The sequence below is a fragment of the Homo sapiens genome, chromosome 3 (genome assembly GCF_000001405.40).
Source record: "Homo sapiens chromosome 3, GRCh38.p14 Primary Assembly".
Lineage (NCBI taxonomy): Eukaryota > Metazoa > Chordata > Mammalia > Primates > Hominidae > Homo > Homo sapiens.
Genome location: NC_000003.12, coordinates 111,572,008 through 111,591,005, shown reverse-complemented (window position 1 = coordinate 111,591,005; position 18,998 = coordinate 111,572,008). Strand labels below are relative to the sequence as shown.

Below are 18,998 nucleotides of genomic sequence, written 5' to 3'. Positions count from 1 at the left end.
TTTCATGACAGATAATTTTCTTTAGATTTTTTTTCCTAATTTATTTCAAACATAACAAAGGTAGCGAGTGATATGAACAAGACCCATGGAGATGACGGGGCTAAAGTATAAAGCACAAGCATAAGAGTGAGAGACGTATGAGGCTTGTGGAAAGTCTGAACTGCTGAGTACACTCTGGAGCTTTTATGCATCCCTCTTGTGCCTTCTTATGCTACATCATTAGCTGTGAGTTGAGGGGCTCTTTGGCTTGATATCTTTTGCTCTAATACAAAAACCTGCCACATGGAGGGGCCCTGAAATTTAGGTTAAAGACTCTTTTCTCATTGTAGTGCAGGAGTGAAGCTGTGTGTCAAGTTGGAGCCCTGGCAAAATCTTGACTTTGGGAATGCATAAGATACAACATTCACAGGTGTGACACTCTCTTTAGACATCTACGGCATGTCCATGCCTGAGGGGCATCATGCTTTTGGGTCTTGTATTTTACAGAAATACTAAAATTAGCCATAAACTTTGTAAGTTTAACTAATAACACAGGAAGACACAGCTCACAACTGACCAAGTCCCCAGAGTATTTCCACACTGCGGGCTGCTAGTGTAGTGAACAGGTAGCAGAGACAGTGTGTGCATGTTGACTTCAAGAATTTCTAAGGAATGAAGGAGGGGCAGGAAATTGCCAACACCAAAAACCTGTGGTTGCTGGATGGTAGGTATTTTGCATACATTCTCTTACTTGATCCTTAACATCACCCTTGTGAAGTTGGAGCCATTGCCCTCATTTACTTTTGAGGAAGTTAAGGAACTGAGCTCTTAGGGGCCAGAGTTAATAAGTGCTGGAAGAGAATTCAAACCTAGTTCTATCAGATCCCACAGTCTGTATTCTGGGTTAAAAAAAATTATTCCACAGTATCTGCTAGAATCAGTCACATAGCTGATTTATGAACGTAAGAGAGTGGGTAAATGATAAATAGTGGGTAGGGAAGAAATATTCCTGAAATGTATACTATGTGCCATGAACTCCATTAGAGCATAAATTTAACCTTCCTAAGAACCCTCTGAAGTATTTGTTATTATTCCAGTTTTAGATATGAGTTAGCTGAGGCTCGTGGAGGTTAATTAATTGATGAGGGTATGTAACCAGCTAAGTAGTTGAATTAGAATTTGACACTTGTGCTATCTGACCCTGAAGCATGATATCCTTCCATCATAATAATACTATTCTGCCTGGATACAGGCACACTAAATATGCATCCCAGCTCTGCCCCTTATTAGTGACTCAGCCAGTTGTTAAGACTTTCCAGGCCCCAATTTTTCATCTGTAAAATGACAGATGCCCTATCTATTTCAGAGGCTCACTGGGAGCAGCACAAGATAAAAGTATGTGAAAGGACTTTGAAGAGTTAATAAATTATTAAAAATACAGCAGGGATTGTAAGAATATTAGAGTGAGGAGTTACTAATGTTTGGCAAGATCTGAAAAGATCCATAGACAAGCCATGTCCTGTAGCTGGTTATGTGTGATTGGAGAAAGATTACTCACTAATTCTCTAGGAAGGAAAATTCTCTGGTTTTCTTAGTTAGCACTAAAGCAAGGGTAGAGAAGAGGAAATTTTATGGCACATTAGGTAAAGTTTTTTGTTTTATTTTAAAACTGGGATTCTTGGATCCAATTTATGGTCCTATATCTGGATTGAGCCCATATTACCTGTAAACACTGGCACCAAGAATCTATTAGAGATCCTTATAAAAAACAAAAACAGGCCGGGCATGGTGGCTCATGCCTGTAATCCCAGCACTCTGGGAGGCCGAGGCGGGCGGATCACGAGGTCAGGGCATTGAGACCACCCTGGCTAACACGGTGAAACCCCATCTCTACTAAAAATACAAAAAATTAGCCAGGCATGGTGGCAGGCGCCTGTAATCCCAGCTACTCAGGAGGCTGAGGCAGGAGAATAGCGTGAACCCAGGAGGCGGAGCTTGCAGTGAGCAGAGATCGCGGCACTGGACTCCAGCCTGGGTGACAGAGTGAGACTCATCTCAAAAAAAAAAAAAAAGAAAAAAAAAGAAACAAAAACACCTACCAAAAGCTGTATGATTAGCTTATTTTTGAAATGTAAACTATTGAAATGAAGTTCACTAATACACTTAGAAATTAAGTTACAACACAGCAAAAATGATTAAATCTTTTGCTGTATAATCAGGATTATAATAGCAGTGATATGGTTTGGCTGTGTCCTCATCCAAATCTCATCTTGAACTCCCAGTGAGAGGTAACTGAATCATGGGGGCAGGTCTTTCCCATGCTGTTTTTGTGACAGTGAGTAAGTCTCATGAGATCTGATGGTTATTATAACCTTTTTCCTGTATAAATTACCCAGTCTTGGGTATGTCTTTATCAGTAGTATGAAAATGGACTAATACAGTAAATTGGTATCAGAAGAGTGGGCACTGCTGAAAAAATAACCAAAAATGTGGATGCAACTTTGGAACTGGGTAACAGGCAGAGGTTGGAACAGTTTGGTGGGTTCAGAAGAAGACAGGAAAATATGGGAAAGTTTGGAACTTCCTAGAGACTTGCTGAATGGCTTTAACAAAAATGCCAATAGTAATATGAACAATAAGGTCCAGGCCGAGGTTGTCTCAGATGGAGATGAGGAACTTGTTGGGAACTGGAGCAAAGATGACTCTTGTTATGTTTTAGTTAAGAGACTGGTGGCATTTTGCCCCTACCCTAGAGATCTGTGGAACTTTGAACTTAAGATAGATGATTTAGGATATCTGGCAGAAAAAATTTCTAAGCAGCAAAGCATGCAAGAGGTAACTTGGGTGCTGTTAAAGGCATTCAGTTTCAAAAGATAAACAGAGAATAAAAGTTTGGAAAATTTGTAGCCTGACAATGTGATAGAAAAGAAAATCCCATTTTCTGGAGAGAAAATCAAGCTGGCTGCAGAAATTTGCATAAGTAACAAGGAGCTGAATGTTAATCATCAAGGCAATGGGGAAAATGTTTCCAGGGCATGTTGGAGACTTTTGCAGCAGCCCCTCCTTCAGAGGCCCAGAGGTTTAGGAGGAAAAAATGGATTTGTGGGTGATGCCCCAGGTCTCCATGCTGTGCGCAGTCTTGGGACTTGGTGCCCTGTGTCCTAGCCACTCCAGCCATAACTGAAAGGGGCCAAGGGTACAGCTTGGGCTGCTGCTTCAGAGGGTGGAAGTCCCAAGCCTTGGAAGCTTCCACGTGGTGTTCAGCCTGTAGGTGCACAGAAGTCAAGAATTGAGGTTTGGGAACCTCTGCCTACATTTCAGAAGATGTATGGGAATGCCTGGATGCCCAGGCAAAAGTTTGCTGCAGGCGGGGCCCTCATGGAGAACCCCACCTAGGGCAGTGCAAAAGGAAGATGTGGGGTTGGAGGCCCCACAAGTAGTCCCCACTATGCTACTGCCTAGTGGAGCTGTGAGAAGAGGACCACCATTCTTCAGATCCCAGAATGGTAGATCCGTGACAGCTTGCACTGTGTGCCTGGAAAAGCTGCAGAAACTCATCATCAGACCATGAAAGCAGCCAGGAGGGAGGCTGTATCCTGCAAAGCCACACTGGCAGAGCTTGTGTCCCTAATGGGACACCACCTAGCAGAGATGTGAGAAGAGGACTACCATCCTTCAGACCACAGAATGGTAGATCCACCAACAGCTTGCACTGTGTGCCTGGAAAAGCTGCAGACACTCAATGCCAGCCTGTGAAAACAGCCAGGAGGGGAGTTATACCCTGCAAAGCCACAGGGGTGGAGCTGCCTAAGACTATGGGAACCCACCTCTTGCATCTGTATGACCTGGATATGAGTCTTGGAGTCAAAGGAGATCATTTTGGAGCCTTAAGATTTGACTGCCCTGCTGGATTTCAGACTTGTTTTGGCCAATGTCTTCCATTTGGAATGGCTGTATTTATCCAATACCTGTACTCCATTGTATCTAGGATGTAACTAACATGCTTTTGATTTTACAGGTTCATAGGCAGAAGGGACTTGCCTTATCTCAGATGAGACTTTGGACTCTGGACTTTTGAGTTAATGCTGCAATGAGTTAAGACTTTGGGGGACTGTTGGAAAGGAATGATTGGTTTTGAAATGTGAGGACATGAGATTTGGGAGAGGTCAGAGGTGGAATGATATGGTTTGGCTGTGTCACCACCCAAATCTAATCTCGAATTCCCACGTGTTGTGGGAGGGACCTGGTGGGAGGTAATTGAAGCATGGGGACTTTCCTGTGCTGTTATCATGATAGTGAGTAAGTCTCATGAGATCTGATGGTTATTATAAGGGGGAGTTTTCCTGCACATTGTCTTTTTGCCCTCTGCCATCCATGTAAGACATGATGTGCTCCTTCTTGCCTTCCGCCATGATTGTCAGGCTTCCCCAGCTATGTGCAACTGTAAGTCCAATTAAACTCTTTTCCCTGTATAAATTACCCAGTCTTGGGTGTGTCTTTACTGGCAGCATGAAAATGGACTAATACAAGCAGTTACCTAAGAGACTAATATATGAAACTGGCAAAAGACACAACTACTTGGAAGATATTTTTCCAAGTTATGCAAAACCATCTCAAACAATCTAAGCTATGATTTGTATGCAATTATCAAATTAAATGACTAATATTCAGTAAGACCAGAGATTGTAAGTTATTTAATGTTATTGGTGCGAGAAGAAACTAGAATGAATATAATTTTCTCTCGCCCCATGTAATAGAAAATGTTAGAGAATTAATGAGTATATTTTTTACTTAGGGTTTTTAAAAGCTTGGCTAAAGTCATAAGGCCACAAGACAGTTGATTAACACAGATAATAATAATAACAAAAACAAGAACAATAATGTTTATTAAACACTTAATATATGTCACACACTGTACTTAGATTTTTTCATATGTTATTTAATTTTTAAAAACAGCAACAATGTGAAGATACTATTATTATTCACTTCATATAGATGGGGAAACTGACTGCAAAGACATGAAGTAATTTGCCCAAGGTCACAGCTCGCAAGAGAAAGAGCGAGAAATTGAGTCCAGATCCTAGTGACTACAGGCTGGTAACTACCACCCAGAAGAAGTTAAGTCAGAGGTCCCTATTCAATTTTCTTTTTTCTCCTGCCCTTCTTCATTACTACCAAAGACATACCCAGGGTTCTGCAGGAGTACAGGAGGGCATATCTCCTCCTGTCACTTTGAAATAAAAACAATGGGAAAGTGGGTAAAGGAAATGGATTAGAACAAATTAAACGTCAGCTGAGCAAAAGCCTCCTTCTTACACCAGGGCTCACACTGCTTTCTGCCCTACTTTGTCCTCACTATCCACCTGAATTTTTATAAAAGAGAAGTTTAAACAAATTGTGACTATTTTTTTTTCTGAGAAATTTAAGGACTAAAAGTGCACATCAAACATTCTGAGAGCCCTAAGTCTAAAAGTAAAAATTCCCATTCACTTTCTAGAAACAACCCAGCTTCCCTTCATCCCTATTAGCAGTTAATTGGTCAAGGGCCAAGGAGTAAAGTTCTTTGAGAGAACATTCCTGGCAACTATGCAACCTGACACACCTTACATGTAATACTGTAGATTTTCAAAGGCTTTTATGTGACTCACCTCTACCAAGACATCCGTGGAGTTATTTTCCACAATCACAGGGATTTCTGGTTTAGCTTAAAGGCAAATAAAACATAGTTAGTGGCACCAAATGTCATCCTACCTGGCCACTAGTGTGTGTATGTGTGTGTGTGTCTATAAGCATCTTCATTCATTAAATATTAATATTTATAAATTAATATTTATTAATATAATACTGCCAGGCCCACTGTGTACCTGGCAGTATGCTAGATGCTTAGGAAACAAATGTGGACAAATAATATTCACTGTTCTTAAGAAATCTACAGTTTCATGGGAATACAGATAAACAAACTGGAAGTTACAATACACTGAGATAAGTGCAATGATTAAGGACATGTAGGATTTGAAGACAGCTTTTAAATAAATTTTCTAACCTAACCTTGGAGGATAGGAGGAGGCTTTTGGAAGATGTGATGTGGTTATCAGTGATGAGTCAAGTAAAATTGGGAATGTGGAAGACTGGTAGTGCAAGCGGAGGATGGGTGGTGGGGAGGGAGAGAAAAGAGCAATGTTCTACATGTCCAAAGGCTTATGATATGGTTTGGCTCTGTCCTCACTCAAATCTCAACTTGAATTGTATCTCCCAGAATTCCCATGTGTTGTGGAAGAGACCCAGCGAGAGGTAATTGAATCACGGGGGCTGGTCTTTCCCATGCTATTCTCATGATAGTGAATAAGTTTCATGAGATCTGGTGGGTCTATCAGGGATTCCCGCCTTTGCTTCTCCCCATTTTTCTCTTCCCATTGCTGTGTAAGAAGTACCTTTCACCACGCACCATGATTCTGAGGCCTCCCCAGCCATGTGGAACTGTAAGTCCAATTAAACTTCTTTTTCTTCCCAGTCTTGGGTATGTCTTTATCAGCAGTGTGAAAACAGACTAATACAATAAATTAGTACCAGTACAGTCGAGTGTTGCTGAAAATATACCCAAAAATGTGGATGCAACTTTGGAACTGGGTAACAGGCAGAGGATGAAACAGTTTGGAGGGCTCAGAAGAAGACGAGAAAATGTTGTAAAGTTTGGAACCTCCTAGAGATTTGTTGAATCACTTTGACAAAAATGCTGATGGTGATATGAACAATAAGGTTGAGGCTGAAGTGGTCTCAGATAGAGATGAGGAACTTGTTGGGAACTGGAGCAAAGGTGACTCTTGTTATGTTTTAGCAAAGAGACTGGCAGCATTTTGCCTATGCCCTAGAGATTTGTGGAACTTTGGACTTACAAGAGATGATTTAGGGTGTCTGGCAGGAGAAATTTCTAAGCAGCAAAGCATTCGAGAGGTGTATTGGGTGCTGTTAAAGGCACTCAGTTTTATAAGGGAAGCAGAGCATGAAAGTTTGGAAAATTTGCAGCCTGACTATGCAATAGAAAAGAGAAACCCATTTTCTAGGGAGAAATTCAAGCTGGCTGCCGAAATTTGCATAAGTAGGAAGGAGCCTAATGTTAATCTACAAGACCATGGGGAAAATGTCCCCAGGCCACATCAGAGACCTTCACAGCAGCCCCTCCCATCACAGGTCCAGAGGCCCAGGAGGAAAAAGTGGTTTCCTGGGCTGGGCCCAGGGTCCCCTTGCTGTGTGCAGCCTCGGGACTTGGTGCCCTGTGTCCCAGCCATTCCAGCTATGGCTGAAAGGGGCCAACGTGCAGCTTGGGCCATTGCTTCTAAAAGTGTGGAATCCCCAAGCCTTGGCAGCTTCCACATGGTGTTGAGCCTGTGCGTGCAGAGAAGTCAAGAACTGAGGTTTGGGAACATCTACCTAGATTTCAGAAGATTTATGGAAATGTCTGAATACCCAGCAAAAGTTTGCTGCAAGGGCGGGGCCCTCATGAAGAACCTCTGCTTGGGCAGTGCAGAAGGGAAATGTGGGGTTGGAGCCCCCACACAGAGTCCCTAATGGGGCACTGACTAGTGGAGCTGTGAGAAGAGGGCCACCATCCTCCAGACCCCAGAATGGTAGATCCACCAACAGATTGCACTGTGCTCCTGAAAAAGCTGCAGACACTCAACACTAGCCTGTGAAAGCAGCCAGGAGGGAGGCTGTACCCTGTAAAGCCACAGGGACAGAACTGCCTAAGAACATGGGAACCTACCTCTTGCATCTGTGTGACCCAGATGCAAGACATAGAGTCAAAGGAGATCATTTTGGAACTTTAAGATTTGACTGCCCTTTTGGATTTTGGACTTGCATGGGGCCTGCAGCCCCTTTGTTTTGGCCAATTTCTCCCATTTAGAATGGTTGTATTTACTGAATGCTTATACCCCCATTATATCTAGAAAGTAACTAACTTGCGTTTGATTTTACAGGCTCATAGGCAGAAGGGACTTGCCTTGTCTCAGATGGGACTTTGGACTTGGACTTTTGGGTTAATGCTGAAATGGGTTGAGAATATGGGGGACTGTTGGGAAGGCATGATTGATTTTGAAATGTGAGGACATGAGATTTGGGACAGGCCATGGGTGAAATTATATGGTTTGGCTGTGTCCCCACCCAAATCTCAACTTGAATTGTGTCTCCCAGAAGGGACCTGGTGGGAGGCAATTGAATCATGAGGGCTGGTCTTTACCATGCTATAGTGAATAAGTCTCATGAGATCTAATGGGTTTATCAGGCATTTATGCTTTTGATTTTCCTCATTTTTCTGTTGCTGCTGCCATGTAAGAAGTGCCTTTCACCTCCTGCCATGATTCTGAGGCCTCCCCAGCCATGTGGAACTTTAAGTCCAACTAAATCTCTTTTTCTTCCCAGTTTTGGGTATGTCTTTATCAGCAGCATGAAAATGAACTAATGCAGCTTAGAAATAAAGTCTCATTATAAAGGTCCCTGAAGTGGAGCAGAGAAACATTTGATTCTTGTTTGGTTGCTTGGCACTAGGAAATATCAGGGAATATTTCAGTGATTTTGTTGTTTTACTAGATTTTAAGTGCCTCTGAGCCAGTATTTTATCAATTTCTTCATCTCTAGCACTTAACTGCCCAGCACAAACTAGACATTAAGTACATCGTGTTGAACAGAAGTGGCTTCAAGTAAATTCTTGAGCATAGCAAACACAGCCTTCTATGACTCAGTGGAAAGAATGCTAAACCTCCAGTCACAGATGCTGTCAGTGCCTGCTACAGCCACTAGCCATTTACCTTGGCATACTGAAGATCTCTTACTGGGATAACTCTTTGATGACTAGATGACTCTTTGCATAATGATTTATTGAGATTATGGGAGTATACTTAGTCCACAAGTAGTAAAAACTGGGAGTCCCAGAGAGTTAATAGTGATACAGATGGAGAGATGGTAGATGAATACCCCAGCTTTCTTGCCCTTCATGTGGGATAACTCTGATGTGTGTTCTATGCTGTCTCCCAGTAAGATGAGCTCTAAACCTATGGTGCTAACTGATATAATCTTGTACATTTTCTTATCTTCCTTCCCTTCCCTGACTCACTTTCTCACTCCTTTTCTGATGTTTCCCAGGATGGCCTTTCAAATAAATTAACCGCAATCCTTATCTCGATGTTTTATTTCAGGGGAACCCAAAACCAAGATACAACCTGAAACACTAATGGATGGAGAGGTATCTCTTACCTCCTGTTAACAAATACCAGCAGAATAAAAGCCCTGAAAGAAAGAACAACTACTAAAAATTGCAGAGGTGACAGGGTGAGACAGATTTTCTTTGAGGTTGAGGACAATCAGATTTGGAATTTAGGAGTGGAACAGAACCCTGTGATGGGCAGGTGACTCCCTGCCAAGGAAAGGAAAACCAAAGGAGACCAGTGAAGGAGATGCAGGAAGTGGCAAAATTGCTGGAGTAGCCCCTCTTGTCCCTGGTCTGTTAGACAATGAAGAGTTGAGCAATGGACATTGTTTGGGAAGAAGAAATATGCTGGGTTTAGGGCATGTGGAATAGATCTGATATATATTTGGGTATTGATTTCAAGGTTTTCATGGGTGTTTTGGGGAGACTTATTCTATATGAGGAATCACCAAGGGATGTAAAGTAGGTTCTTATAAGATATGTGGTCAGGGCCACAATATATACTTGGGTAACACCTCAAAATAGGTTAAGGACTGGATGAGACTCCACCCAAACACAACCCGCCCAGCCAATTTACTAAATGCAAAAACCAGGAAGCACGAAAAATCTAATTTTCTGAACAAGCAGGCAGGGTTTCATATTTTTAAGCATCCACCGAAAGGACTTCAAAGAAGAAACAAGAGAAATGTAGAGACAAAGAGCTGTAGAATCCAATAGGGTGATAAAAATGAGATATAGAAGGCTGAAAAACATTTAAGATCAAGATAGAGGTGTTTTAATGCAGCAAAGAGATACAGGACACAGCATAAATGTTGACAAGGCAATTAGATCAAGTTATGATGCAAAAAGTCTTGATCAATAGGGGACACAGCTTGCCTAGATTAAAATTGATATTTCTTTCTACATTGAGGATGGCTGCCTTCATTGGTTTGACAATAGACCAGATGAAGCAGTTTCATGTTTGCACTAAGACAGTCACAGCCTGGTAAATAAACAAATGGTGATAGCAAAAGAGATGAACAGCTTGTTTCCAACTCTTCACAGGACACTGTTTAGGCTCCGTAAGGAACCTGATCATCAGGGATGATTATTGCCTAGTCCATCCCTGAGGAGAGATGAAGAGAAAGAGAAGGGGGAGGATGCAGAGGGAAGGGGAGGACAGAGGAGGGAAGGGGGAGGCAATTTTGTGTTTTCTTCAAAATACTAAATTGTATGACTGCCAATAATAGGGCAATACAATTCCAAATAATTTTTTTTTGCTTGCTCTGCCCTTTAGAGAATTGAGGAACAATCTAGCAGCCTGTGTCCATAGGTTTGTGAAGTTATTTTCTCTTTGTTTATCTCATTTTCAAAAATAATTAATTGTCTATCCACCTCACTGCTTTTCTCTTTGCCTTCTTTAAAATTGACTTTCTAAAAAACACAGATCTTTGTCACAAAAAATGAAAAAAACATCCAAAGGCAGAGGCTTCCCTTCATTAATGGTGTTTATTAATTAGTGGTACTTCCTTGTACCACTGGGGAAAATAGAATTTTAACCTTTCCTCCTTAAATTGGCACGCTGCAGATAGTCTGCATTTTGAGTGAGGCCACAGTGGATTTCACAGCTCAGCTCCACACTCCTGAGAGTGCAGGTTCAGAGGGCCTTTCCTAAAGGCTCCTTTGCTGGAAGGGCTGGACCTGGATGGTCTCACCCCAGCTGGGCCTTGGCAGGATAGCAGGGGAGGAGGAACTTCTGCAGTTTCTCTGGGGCTATATTTATCACCTTCCTTTTCTCACTGACTTTACTCCACCTTGCTCAAGCAAGCAACTAAGACAATTAGACAACTAAACAATTAGATTTTGGCAGTTACAATTAAAGAGATTTCCAGTATTCTGAGAAATATTAACATTGTAAATAAGATAGTGGTCACCAGGAAATTGTTCTGTCTGTTATGGTTTGAATGTCCACTCCAAAATTCATATTGAAACTTAATCTCCAGTGTGGCAGTATTGAGAGCTGGGGCCTTTCAGAGGTGATTGAATCATGAGGTCTCTGCCCTTATGAATAAGATTAATCCATTCATGGATTAATGGGTTACTGGAGTCATGAGTTATAATGGGAGGGAAACTGGTGGCCTTATAAGAAGAGGAAGAGAGACCTGAGTTAGCACATTAGCAAACTCTGTCCCCTCGCCATGTGATACCGTGTGCCACCTTGGGATTCTTCAGAGAGTCCCCATCCGCAAGAAGGCTCTTACCAGATGCGTCCCCTCGACCTTGGACTTAGCCTCCATAACTGTAAGTAATAAATTCCTTTTCTTTACAAATTACTCAGTTTCAGGTATTTCATTGTAAGCAACAGAAAACTGACCAATACAGAAAATTATTGGCTTCTGTATGATTTTATTCTGTTAACAGAATCATCATTCTTTAGCATCCTACCCTCATCCCCCTGCCCAACAAGAATGACAAGTATCCAGGGAAACAGACTCCAGCACTGTTACCCACATGTGGCTGCTCTGCAGCATAATAGGGTGCTTCCTCTTCAAGGAAGAGCAGGGCAGGAGACAGGAGGATGCCAGTGAGTCTGTAGAACAAAAGCCCTTACCAAAAACCTTGACTGTGGTGGAGCTCCTCAAGATTTTGTTAGGACCGACTCTAATGTGGCAAGAGAACTTCCGCCCATCATCGAAGATTTGGACTGGAGAGAGGTGGAGTCTGTAGTCTGTACCAAGCTTGACTCTATCTTTAAGTAATGTGGAATTGCTGATGAGGTGATTTTGGGAGATAAGTGTTTCCTGAGTTCCATTATCCTCCTGGTGAGAAAAATTGTTACCAGTTATTGAGTCCTCAACTGTGCCAGCTCTGAACTAGGCATTCGACAAGCACTGATTCATTTACTTTTTGTAAAGTAGAGAGGAAGAATGAAGGATTGAAATTAGAAGACATTTAGTATATTACTAGAGAAAGTATGATACACTTGACTTTCAGTTAAAAACTATTGTTACCCTCTCCTAACAAATGGAAGCATTCTGTTCTTCTGACTAGAGCTTCTCCTTCATAATCTTCTATGAACTGTATATCTGGAGCAGGATTTGGGGTTTGGAATGGGCAGGACTAATGGCAGATTTTAATTTTTATTTAAGAAGTTCTGACATCTTACTGCTAAGATGAGAAGACTGTATCAGTGTGAAGATTTCATAAAATCTTCATTTAAACTGGATGATTACAGCTATCCCTAAATTCCTTTAGAAAATGACTCTTTGTCAGCTCCTCCCCGAGCCTGGACTAGGATCAGGTAAAGTGGCATTCTCAAAGTCTTGCAAGTGAAATGTTGACACCCAACAGTGAGTACCTCCTTAAATTTTGTGCCCTGGGGCAGCTCCTTGCCTCATTTCACAGCCTTGTTCTGGTCCTAACCTTATTCCCTTTCTTCTGTGTTTGTGTTAGCTTCAAAGAGGATGCATGAAGAGTAGCCTGAAAATGTTAATCTGAATTTTGGAGATCAGAGTATATTTGAGGTACTTGGTTCTTCTATCCCGTATCCTTTCTTCGGTCTGTGATGAAAAGCCCTATTATTCTCTCTGTGCCTGGAATTTTTTTGGACAAACTCCCTGGGGTGTCACAGTGTTGGTTGATGTCAATAAAAGTGCTCACTAGGGGCCCAGTAAGGAGGGGATTCTTGACGGGCACAAGGGTAGAGGATGGGTTAGGTCTTCATATCCTGTTAGTATGACTCAACATTCTCAGTTGAGCTGCTTTTAAAACACTCTGATGCACAAGCTTGTCTTCTAGAGATTCTAATTCAGTCTGTCTGGGATAAGGCCATAGCTAGGACAATTGCTTTTAAGGTACTCAGGAGATCCAGGGCTGACATCTACTGGCCTAACTCTAAACAACAGATGAATCCTTGTGTACAGTCATCAGGGGAAATGGAGGGAAGTAAAATGGAGAAGGGTAAACAGGAGTGCATTCAATGGGGGAAATGTTACAAAATAATGATAAGATCTATGAATTGGAATCTCTAGTTTTAAAAATGAGACAGATCAGGCTACAAGAAATGGAAACCACATTCAAGTATGGGCAGAAACAGAGGATGGACTAAGGTAGACTTCTTAAATAGTTTAAATAGAAAATTCCAGAATATACTTAGTAGAAACTCTTATGTAAGACACCGTTCTTTAGCTGAATCTGGCTAGGATTTGTGTCAGTCTTACATACAGATAGTATTGTGTTATTGCCTGCAAATAATCATACTCTGCTGAATTCTTTTTCCTGCAGCAATTTACATACCTTTATACCCTTAGAAAGAAGGACCCAAGAATCCGTGCTGCTGTTTTCCTAAGGAAGAAGAGCAAAAGAAGAAGGGAGAAAGACTGTATTACAGAGATAGGATCCCCCAGAGGAGCTCTAAGTATTGGGTGGGGACAGGAGAAGAAAGTGGAGAGCATGTCACTCAGCACTGGCAAGTCTGGAGGTCAATAATTAAGAAGGCAGGTACCCCCTGCAGATCTTTTGGCACAGGTACGTTTGGCAGCCTCTTGCTTTTTTGTGTGTCAGGATTTTAGAGTTGAAAATGCTCCTTGGTCATTTAGTATATGAATGCCATTTGGAACAGTTCCATCAACTGTCACTTTGTTGTGGGAAAAAGAGCAGTTACATGCTGAAGTTGGAGACTGGTGAGAAAAACTGCTTTTTTCTTTATTATATAGCAGATTGTGACTAGGTGGTTTAGTTGATAGAGAAAAAATACAAAACCTTCCAACTTATCCAAAGGTTGCTTTTTTCCCCTGGGCAGTTGACTTTTGCAGAAAGAAGGGTTTGTTCCTTCATTAGGAAAGATGGGATTCAGTTGCAAAGAATGCCCCGTAACCTACAATATAAGGAGATCCTAAGACATTCTAGAGTCTTCAGTTATAAAGGGGGCAGTAGCAAGAACTTACATATGAGTGGCTGCCTTCACAGAGCAAATGGGAGGAGAGGTGAAAAAATTAGCACAGGCAAACAACGAAATGCCTAGGACTGGGAGAGGGAGAAATAATACTAGTATTATGTTATGACCATTATTAAACTTTCATAATCTTATTAGTCATAGTTTAAATTTATTTAGCACCTACTATATTCTAAGAATTCTGCAAAGTCCTTTCAAGTCTTATTTACTTCTTACAACTATGTAGAATAAATTGAGGTTAAAAATTTGATCAAAGATCACACAAAGTAAGAGTTATTTAAGTCACAGCATCAAAAAGCAAGGAGGCCCAGAACCGGGGACAAATAAGTCTCAGATACAATTTGTACTAATAAGAACCAAACTATAAAATAATAATAAATAAAAAACCTTTCTGAAGTATCTACAGTGAGAAATTTAATAGAAATTTTAGAAAGCTAGAACCTTTCATGTGAGTTGTAGATTACAGGGGTGAGGGCAATTTGTTGATTGAAAGGGGCCTTTGTATGACATATTGGCCCACTTTTGATGATAGGTGTTTAGAGCACACCTCAACTCCTACTTGATAATAATGCTCTTAGCTAACCTAGTCTTCAGGAAACAGACAGATAGAGGCAAGAACCTGTATGTGACAGCCTTATTTCTACCAGTTTTTTCTTTTCCTGTTCTTCAAAGAAAAAAATTGTCCACTTTAAAAAATATTAATAAGTATTTCTAAAACTTTATGGATTCACACCTTGGTAGACTCCCACATTTTAATGGGAAATATAGATTTAATGAGGTAACATATATGATATACTTACTCTAGTCCTGACACTTAATAGATGTTCAATAATACAAGCTTATTATTATCTAGTCCAGCCTATGATCAACCTGCTATCTCATGAGTATTCACTATGTGCCTGGCTAAACTGAGGAATTATGGAGATTCATTGCTATGGTTTGAATGTTTTTGTCCCTTCCAAAACTCATATTGAAACTTAATCCCCAATGGCATAGTGTTGGGAGGTGAAGCCTAATGGGAGATCCAAAGGGCTCTGCCCTCATAAATAGATTAATGCCACTCTACAAAGTGCTTGTAGTAGTGAGTTCTCTCTCTTCTGCTCTTCTGCCATGTGAGGACAAAGATTTTTGTCCTCTCTGGAGAACATAGCATTCAAGGTGCCATCTTGGAAGCACAGAGACCAGGCTCTAACTTGCTGGCACCTTGATTTTGGACTTCCCAGCCTCCAGAACTTGAGAGAATAAATGTTCTGTTTATAAATTTCTTAGTTTCAGATATTCTGTTACATGTAGCAGCACAAAATAGATTAAGACAGTTATAAAGCCATGAATAGCTCAATCTGCTCTCTTGCCAATGTCAACCCGTAAGGGTTGGCCCTTGGGGGACACAATGGCCATGAACAACAAGTTGATTGGAAAATACTGTTCCTTAAACAATATAAATGTAGCAAGGTCTGAAAAACACACAAGCAACAGTCTGCCTTTATTTACAAATTTGATGTTTTGTTCACCATGGATTTTCCCTAACTTCTGATTTTTAAAAATGTTGTATTAAAATATTTATCTTGATCACTAACTTTTTGTGCTCCTTTAAATTTTGCTTCCAAGGTTAATGGCCTTCCTTGCTTCACTCTAATCCCAGCCCTTAGGTCTCATAGCCAGTAAGTAGTGGAGATCCAGGTCTTGAAAACAGCAATTTCCCTCCAAATATCACACTGTTAATGACTTTGCTATATACAGTCTCACAAAAGTAGTAAAAGAAACAGTCTTAGCCTTTCCTACTTATAATCTACTTAAGGGCTGGATTTGGTGGCTCATGCCTGTAATTCCAGCACTTTGGGAGGCCAAGGCTGGTGGATTTCTTGAGCCCAGGAGTTCAAGACCAGCCTGGGAAACATGGTGAAACCCTGTCTTTACTAAAAATACAAAAAAAAAAAAAAGTTAGCTGGGTATGGTGGCACATGCCTGTGGTCCCAGTTCCTTGGGAGGCTGAGGTGGGAGGATCACCTGAGCCTGGGGAGGTCAAGGCTGCAGTGAGCCAAGATTATGTCACTGCACTCCGGCCTGGGCAGCAAAGTGAGACACTGCCTCAAAAAAAAAAAATCTAAAAATTCATATTTTTAAATATAATTTTTAAATAGATTTTTTGCACTAAAAATATACTTAAGGAGAAGAACAAACATGTACACACAAACAAATATGAAAATCAGGAGCCACAGAAAAGAAACAAATGCATAATTAAATTATGTATAGGAGCTTGATAAAATAATTAGCATGATAACTGCTGAAAGGGATCTTATTGAATCATGAAACTGCTGTTATATGTCCCTTAAATACTTGACAAATCCTAAAATAAGTCATTTAGGCTTTGTTTTTGAACTAGAATCAAAATTTTCAATTTAGAACAGGAATCTTTGTACTACAGGTTGAGTAACCCTTATCTGAAATGCTTGGTATCAGAAATGTTTCAGGCTCAGATGTTTTGGATTTTGGACTATTTACATTATGCCAGTTGAACATCTTAAATCTGAAAATCTGAAATCTGAAATGATCCATTGAACATTTCTTTTGAGCATCATGTGTGCGCTAAAAAAGTTTCAGATTTTGGAGCATTTTGAATTTCAGGTTTTCAGACTTGGGATGTTCAACCTCCTTGATTTAGTGATGATATTTCATCTCTGAGCTATCCTGAGCTCCTTGAAACCAGCTCCATGTCAGAGCTGGCTGCACTGACCACAGCACATGGCAGGTGCTGAGTGTACAGAGCTCATTCAATAACTGCTGTTAACTGTATTGATTGCTACTCCTTTTTTCTCCAAACTGTTTCTTATCTTCACATTTCCTCCATTTATTCTCCATCCAGTCAGTGCTGTCAAAGCAAGCTGCTTGCAAAGCTCCCCACATCCATTTTCTAGAGCACCAGAACAATATATTTCTAACCATTGCTGTTGGTTATCAACACTTTGTAGTTTGGTTGGCACTTCATTTTTTTATTAAAGACAATTAGAATCAGCTGCCATCAGGTAAGAGGTTACAGTTTTGTTTTCTGAATAGTGAGGCATCCATAAGCATAACAAACATTGTCTATAGTACCACTTACCTTTTAACATAAATAGCACAAATATTAAATAAGAGCATGTTGAAGATATATTTATAGATAAAAATTTTAAGATAGATGAGAATCTATAGTTATGTGCTTTTGTCACTAATATTGAATTGTTTGAATTGGAAATATTCTTGTCCTTCTCTTCATGATTTTAAAGAGAAAAATCGTGAATTTCTTTATTTTCACTGACTTTGGGAACAAATATTCCCTCTTATGCATTTTCCCGTCTGCACTACCAATTTGTACTTAAAGGTCCCAGGGTCTTGGTGTAGTATATGTCTGTCTTTTGCTAGCCAACTATTTAATTATCCAGCTCAGATATAACCTTTTCTAAGAAGCTTTCCCAGGTTCATCTAGTCGGAATTGAACTATTTTCCCCATGCTGCCGTTTTTAACATTTTTATTAAAGGTGTATGTCATGGTAGGAAATATGTCCAATATAGTTTTGTATCCCTGCAGGACTTAGTGCTCAAAACAGATTCATATATGTTTATTGGACTGAACTGAAATTCATGCTGTGGGAAACAAGGATGATAGTTTGCTATGAAAACAGAATATTAGAGTATATTTAGAAGCTTCCAGAATAAGCCTGCAGAACTTCCCTCATGACTATATGCTTATGTCCCAATGCATAAGATGGGAAAAAATACCACTTATCTTTCAGCTTCCAACTGCATCCCATCTAAGTACACATATTCTAGGATTTCTTATATATTACTCCTCCATTCACGTAGATTATTAGTTTCCATTAGAGAGTTAACCCTTTGTGTTTACTTAGTTACCCCTCATGCTGGATGAATGTTAGATACACTGTCCATTTGCACCTGATGCCCGTCTACCTCAGTGTATTCCCAGTCCTGCGATGTAACTTCCCAAAATGCAGAGTCTGTCCCATTAACACACTTAACACAGCCTTGGCATGAGATCAGGCAGATGTGGCATAAGAGTTTATTTTATGAGACAGAATCCCAATTATAACCTTTCCTATGAGGGTCATAATTGAATTAATTAGCTTTTATAAAATTCCACAAACAGGAAGACATCACTTTTGTTTTTCAGTGACTTAGATAATTTTAGTTTGTAAATTGTTTCCAGGGTTTCATGAGTCACTTGGGGCAGAAGGCCTTTGAAACTTCCCAGAGTTCAGTATAGGAAGTTTCTGCTCTCCTGAGCTCACCTTCATCATTTCTATGTTGTAATCTCTTTCTAAAGAGATTATATATGTTTGTAAGAACAATAGGCTTATCTTATGATTCTTATTCTTAGTTTAAGAAGAGATTAAAGACCAAAAATATGGATTGGCTGGAATATTTGTGTCCTTTGCAGACATGTAACAATTATGATACTAAGAGTTGTAGTTTATTCCCTAATATAAGTGTTGCCAGTGGCACCAGTTTGTTTTTGACTTTACCACACAAAAGAATTTGAGAGCAAGTTCAAAATGAAAAGAGGTAAGAGAGCTTACTGCAAAGCAAAAGTACACTCACCGCTGATCACAGCGGGCTACTCAAAGGTGAGATGATGCTGACTGACACTAGGGAAACTCCCTTTATGAGAGTCTCATATGATTATTCATGAAGGGTTGGGAAGGTGTGTTGCTATTAAGCATGTTCGGGGTGGTCCTCCCGATGTGCATGTGCTATTGTTGTACGTGCGGGTAGATACATGGCATGTCTCATTAACATCTTAAATCTCTACTCATGGGTGTGTTTTTTACCATTATGATGAGCATAGGTCAGCCCAAAGACACTAATCATGGGTTTCTGCACTTGCATGAA

General features: G+C 40.4%; 1 protein-coding gene across 15 annotated transcripts in view, besides 2 other annotated features; it reads right to left on the bottom strand.

Moving 5' to 3' along the window:
* Nucleotides 1-18,998, bottom strand: part of CD96 (CD96 molecule) — a 123,800-nt gene that overhangs the window by 74,991 nt on the left and 29,811 nt on the right. For 8 of the 15 annotated variants that reach the window (XR_007093316.1, XR_007093335.1, XR_007093326.1 and 5 more), the window contains exons 4-5: nt 11,772-11,979; nt 5,628-5,683 (exon numbers count right to left, since the gene is read on the bottom strand). Coding sequence is in view for 5 of the 15 variants with exons in the window: in NM_005816.5 (NP_005807.1) it covers nt 5,628-5,683; nt 11,772-11,979 (264 nt within the window). In the remaining 10 variants the exon portion in view is untranslated. Of the gene's footprint in view, nt 1-5,627; nt 5,684-11,771; nt 11,980-13,456; nt 13,505-18,998 lie in introns of all 15 variants that reach the window. The other 7 variants (XR_007093273.1, XR_924090.2, XR_241462.2 and 4 more) reach the window with 1 other exon arrangement.
* Nucleotides 3,977-4,177: a silencer, noted in NCBI's record as "peak4767 fragment used in MPRA reporter construct". NCBI's record gives its function as "represses an SCP1 promoter by STARR-seq MPRAs in K562 erythroleukemia cells {active_cell/tissue: K562}" and the evidence as "EXISTENCE:reporter gene assay evidence [ECO:0000049][PMID:32103011]".
* Nucleotides 4,237-4,437: a silencer, noted in NCBI's record as "peak4766 fragment used in MPRA reporter construct". NCBI's record gives its function as "represses an SCP1 promoter by STARR-seq MPRAs in K562 erythroleukemia cells {active_cell/tissue: K562}" and the evidence as "EXISTENCE:reporter gene assay evidence [ECO:0000049][PMID:32103011]".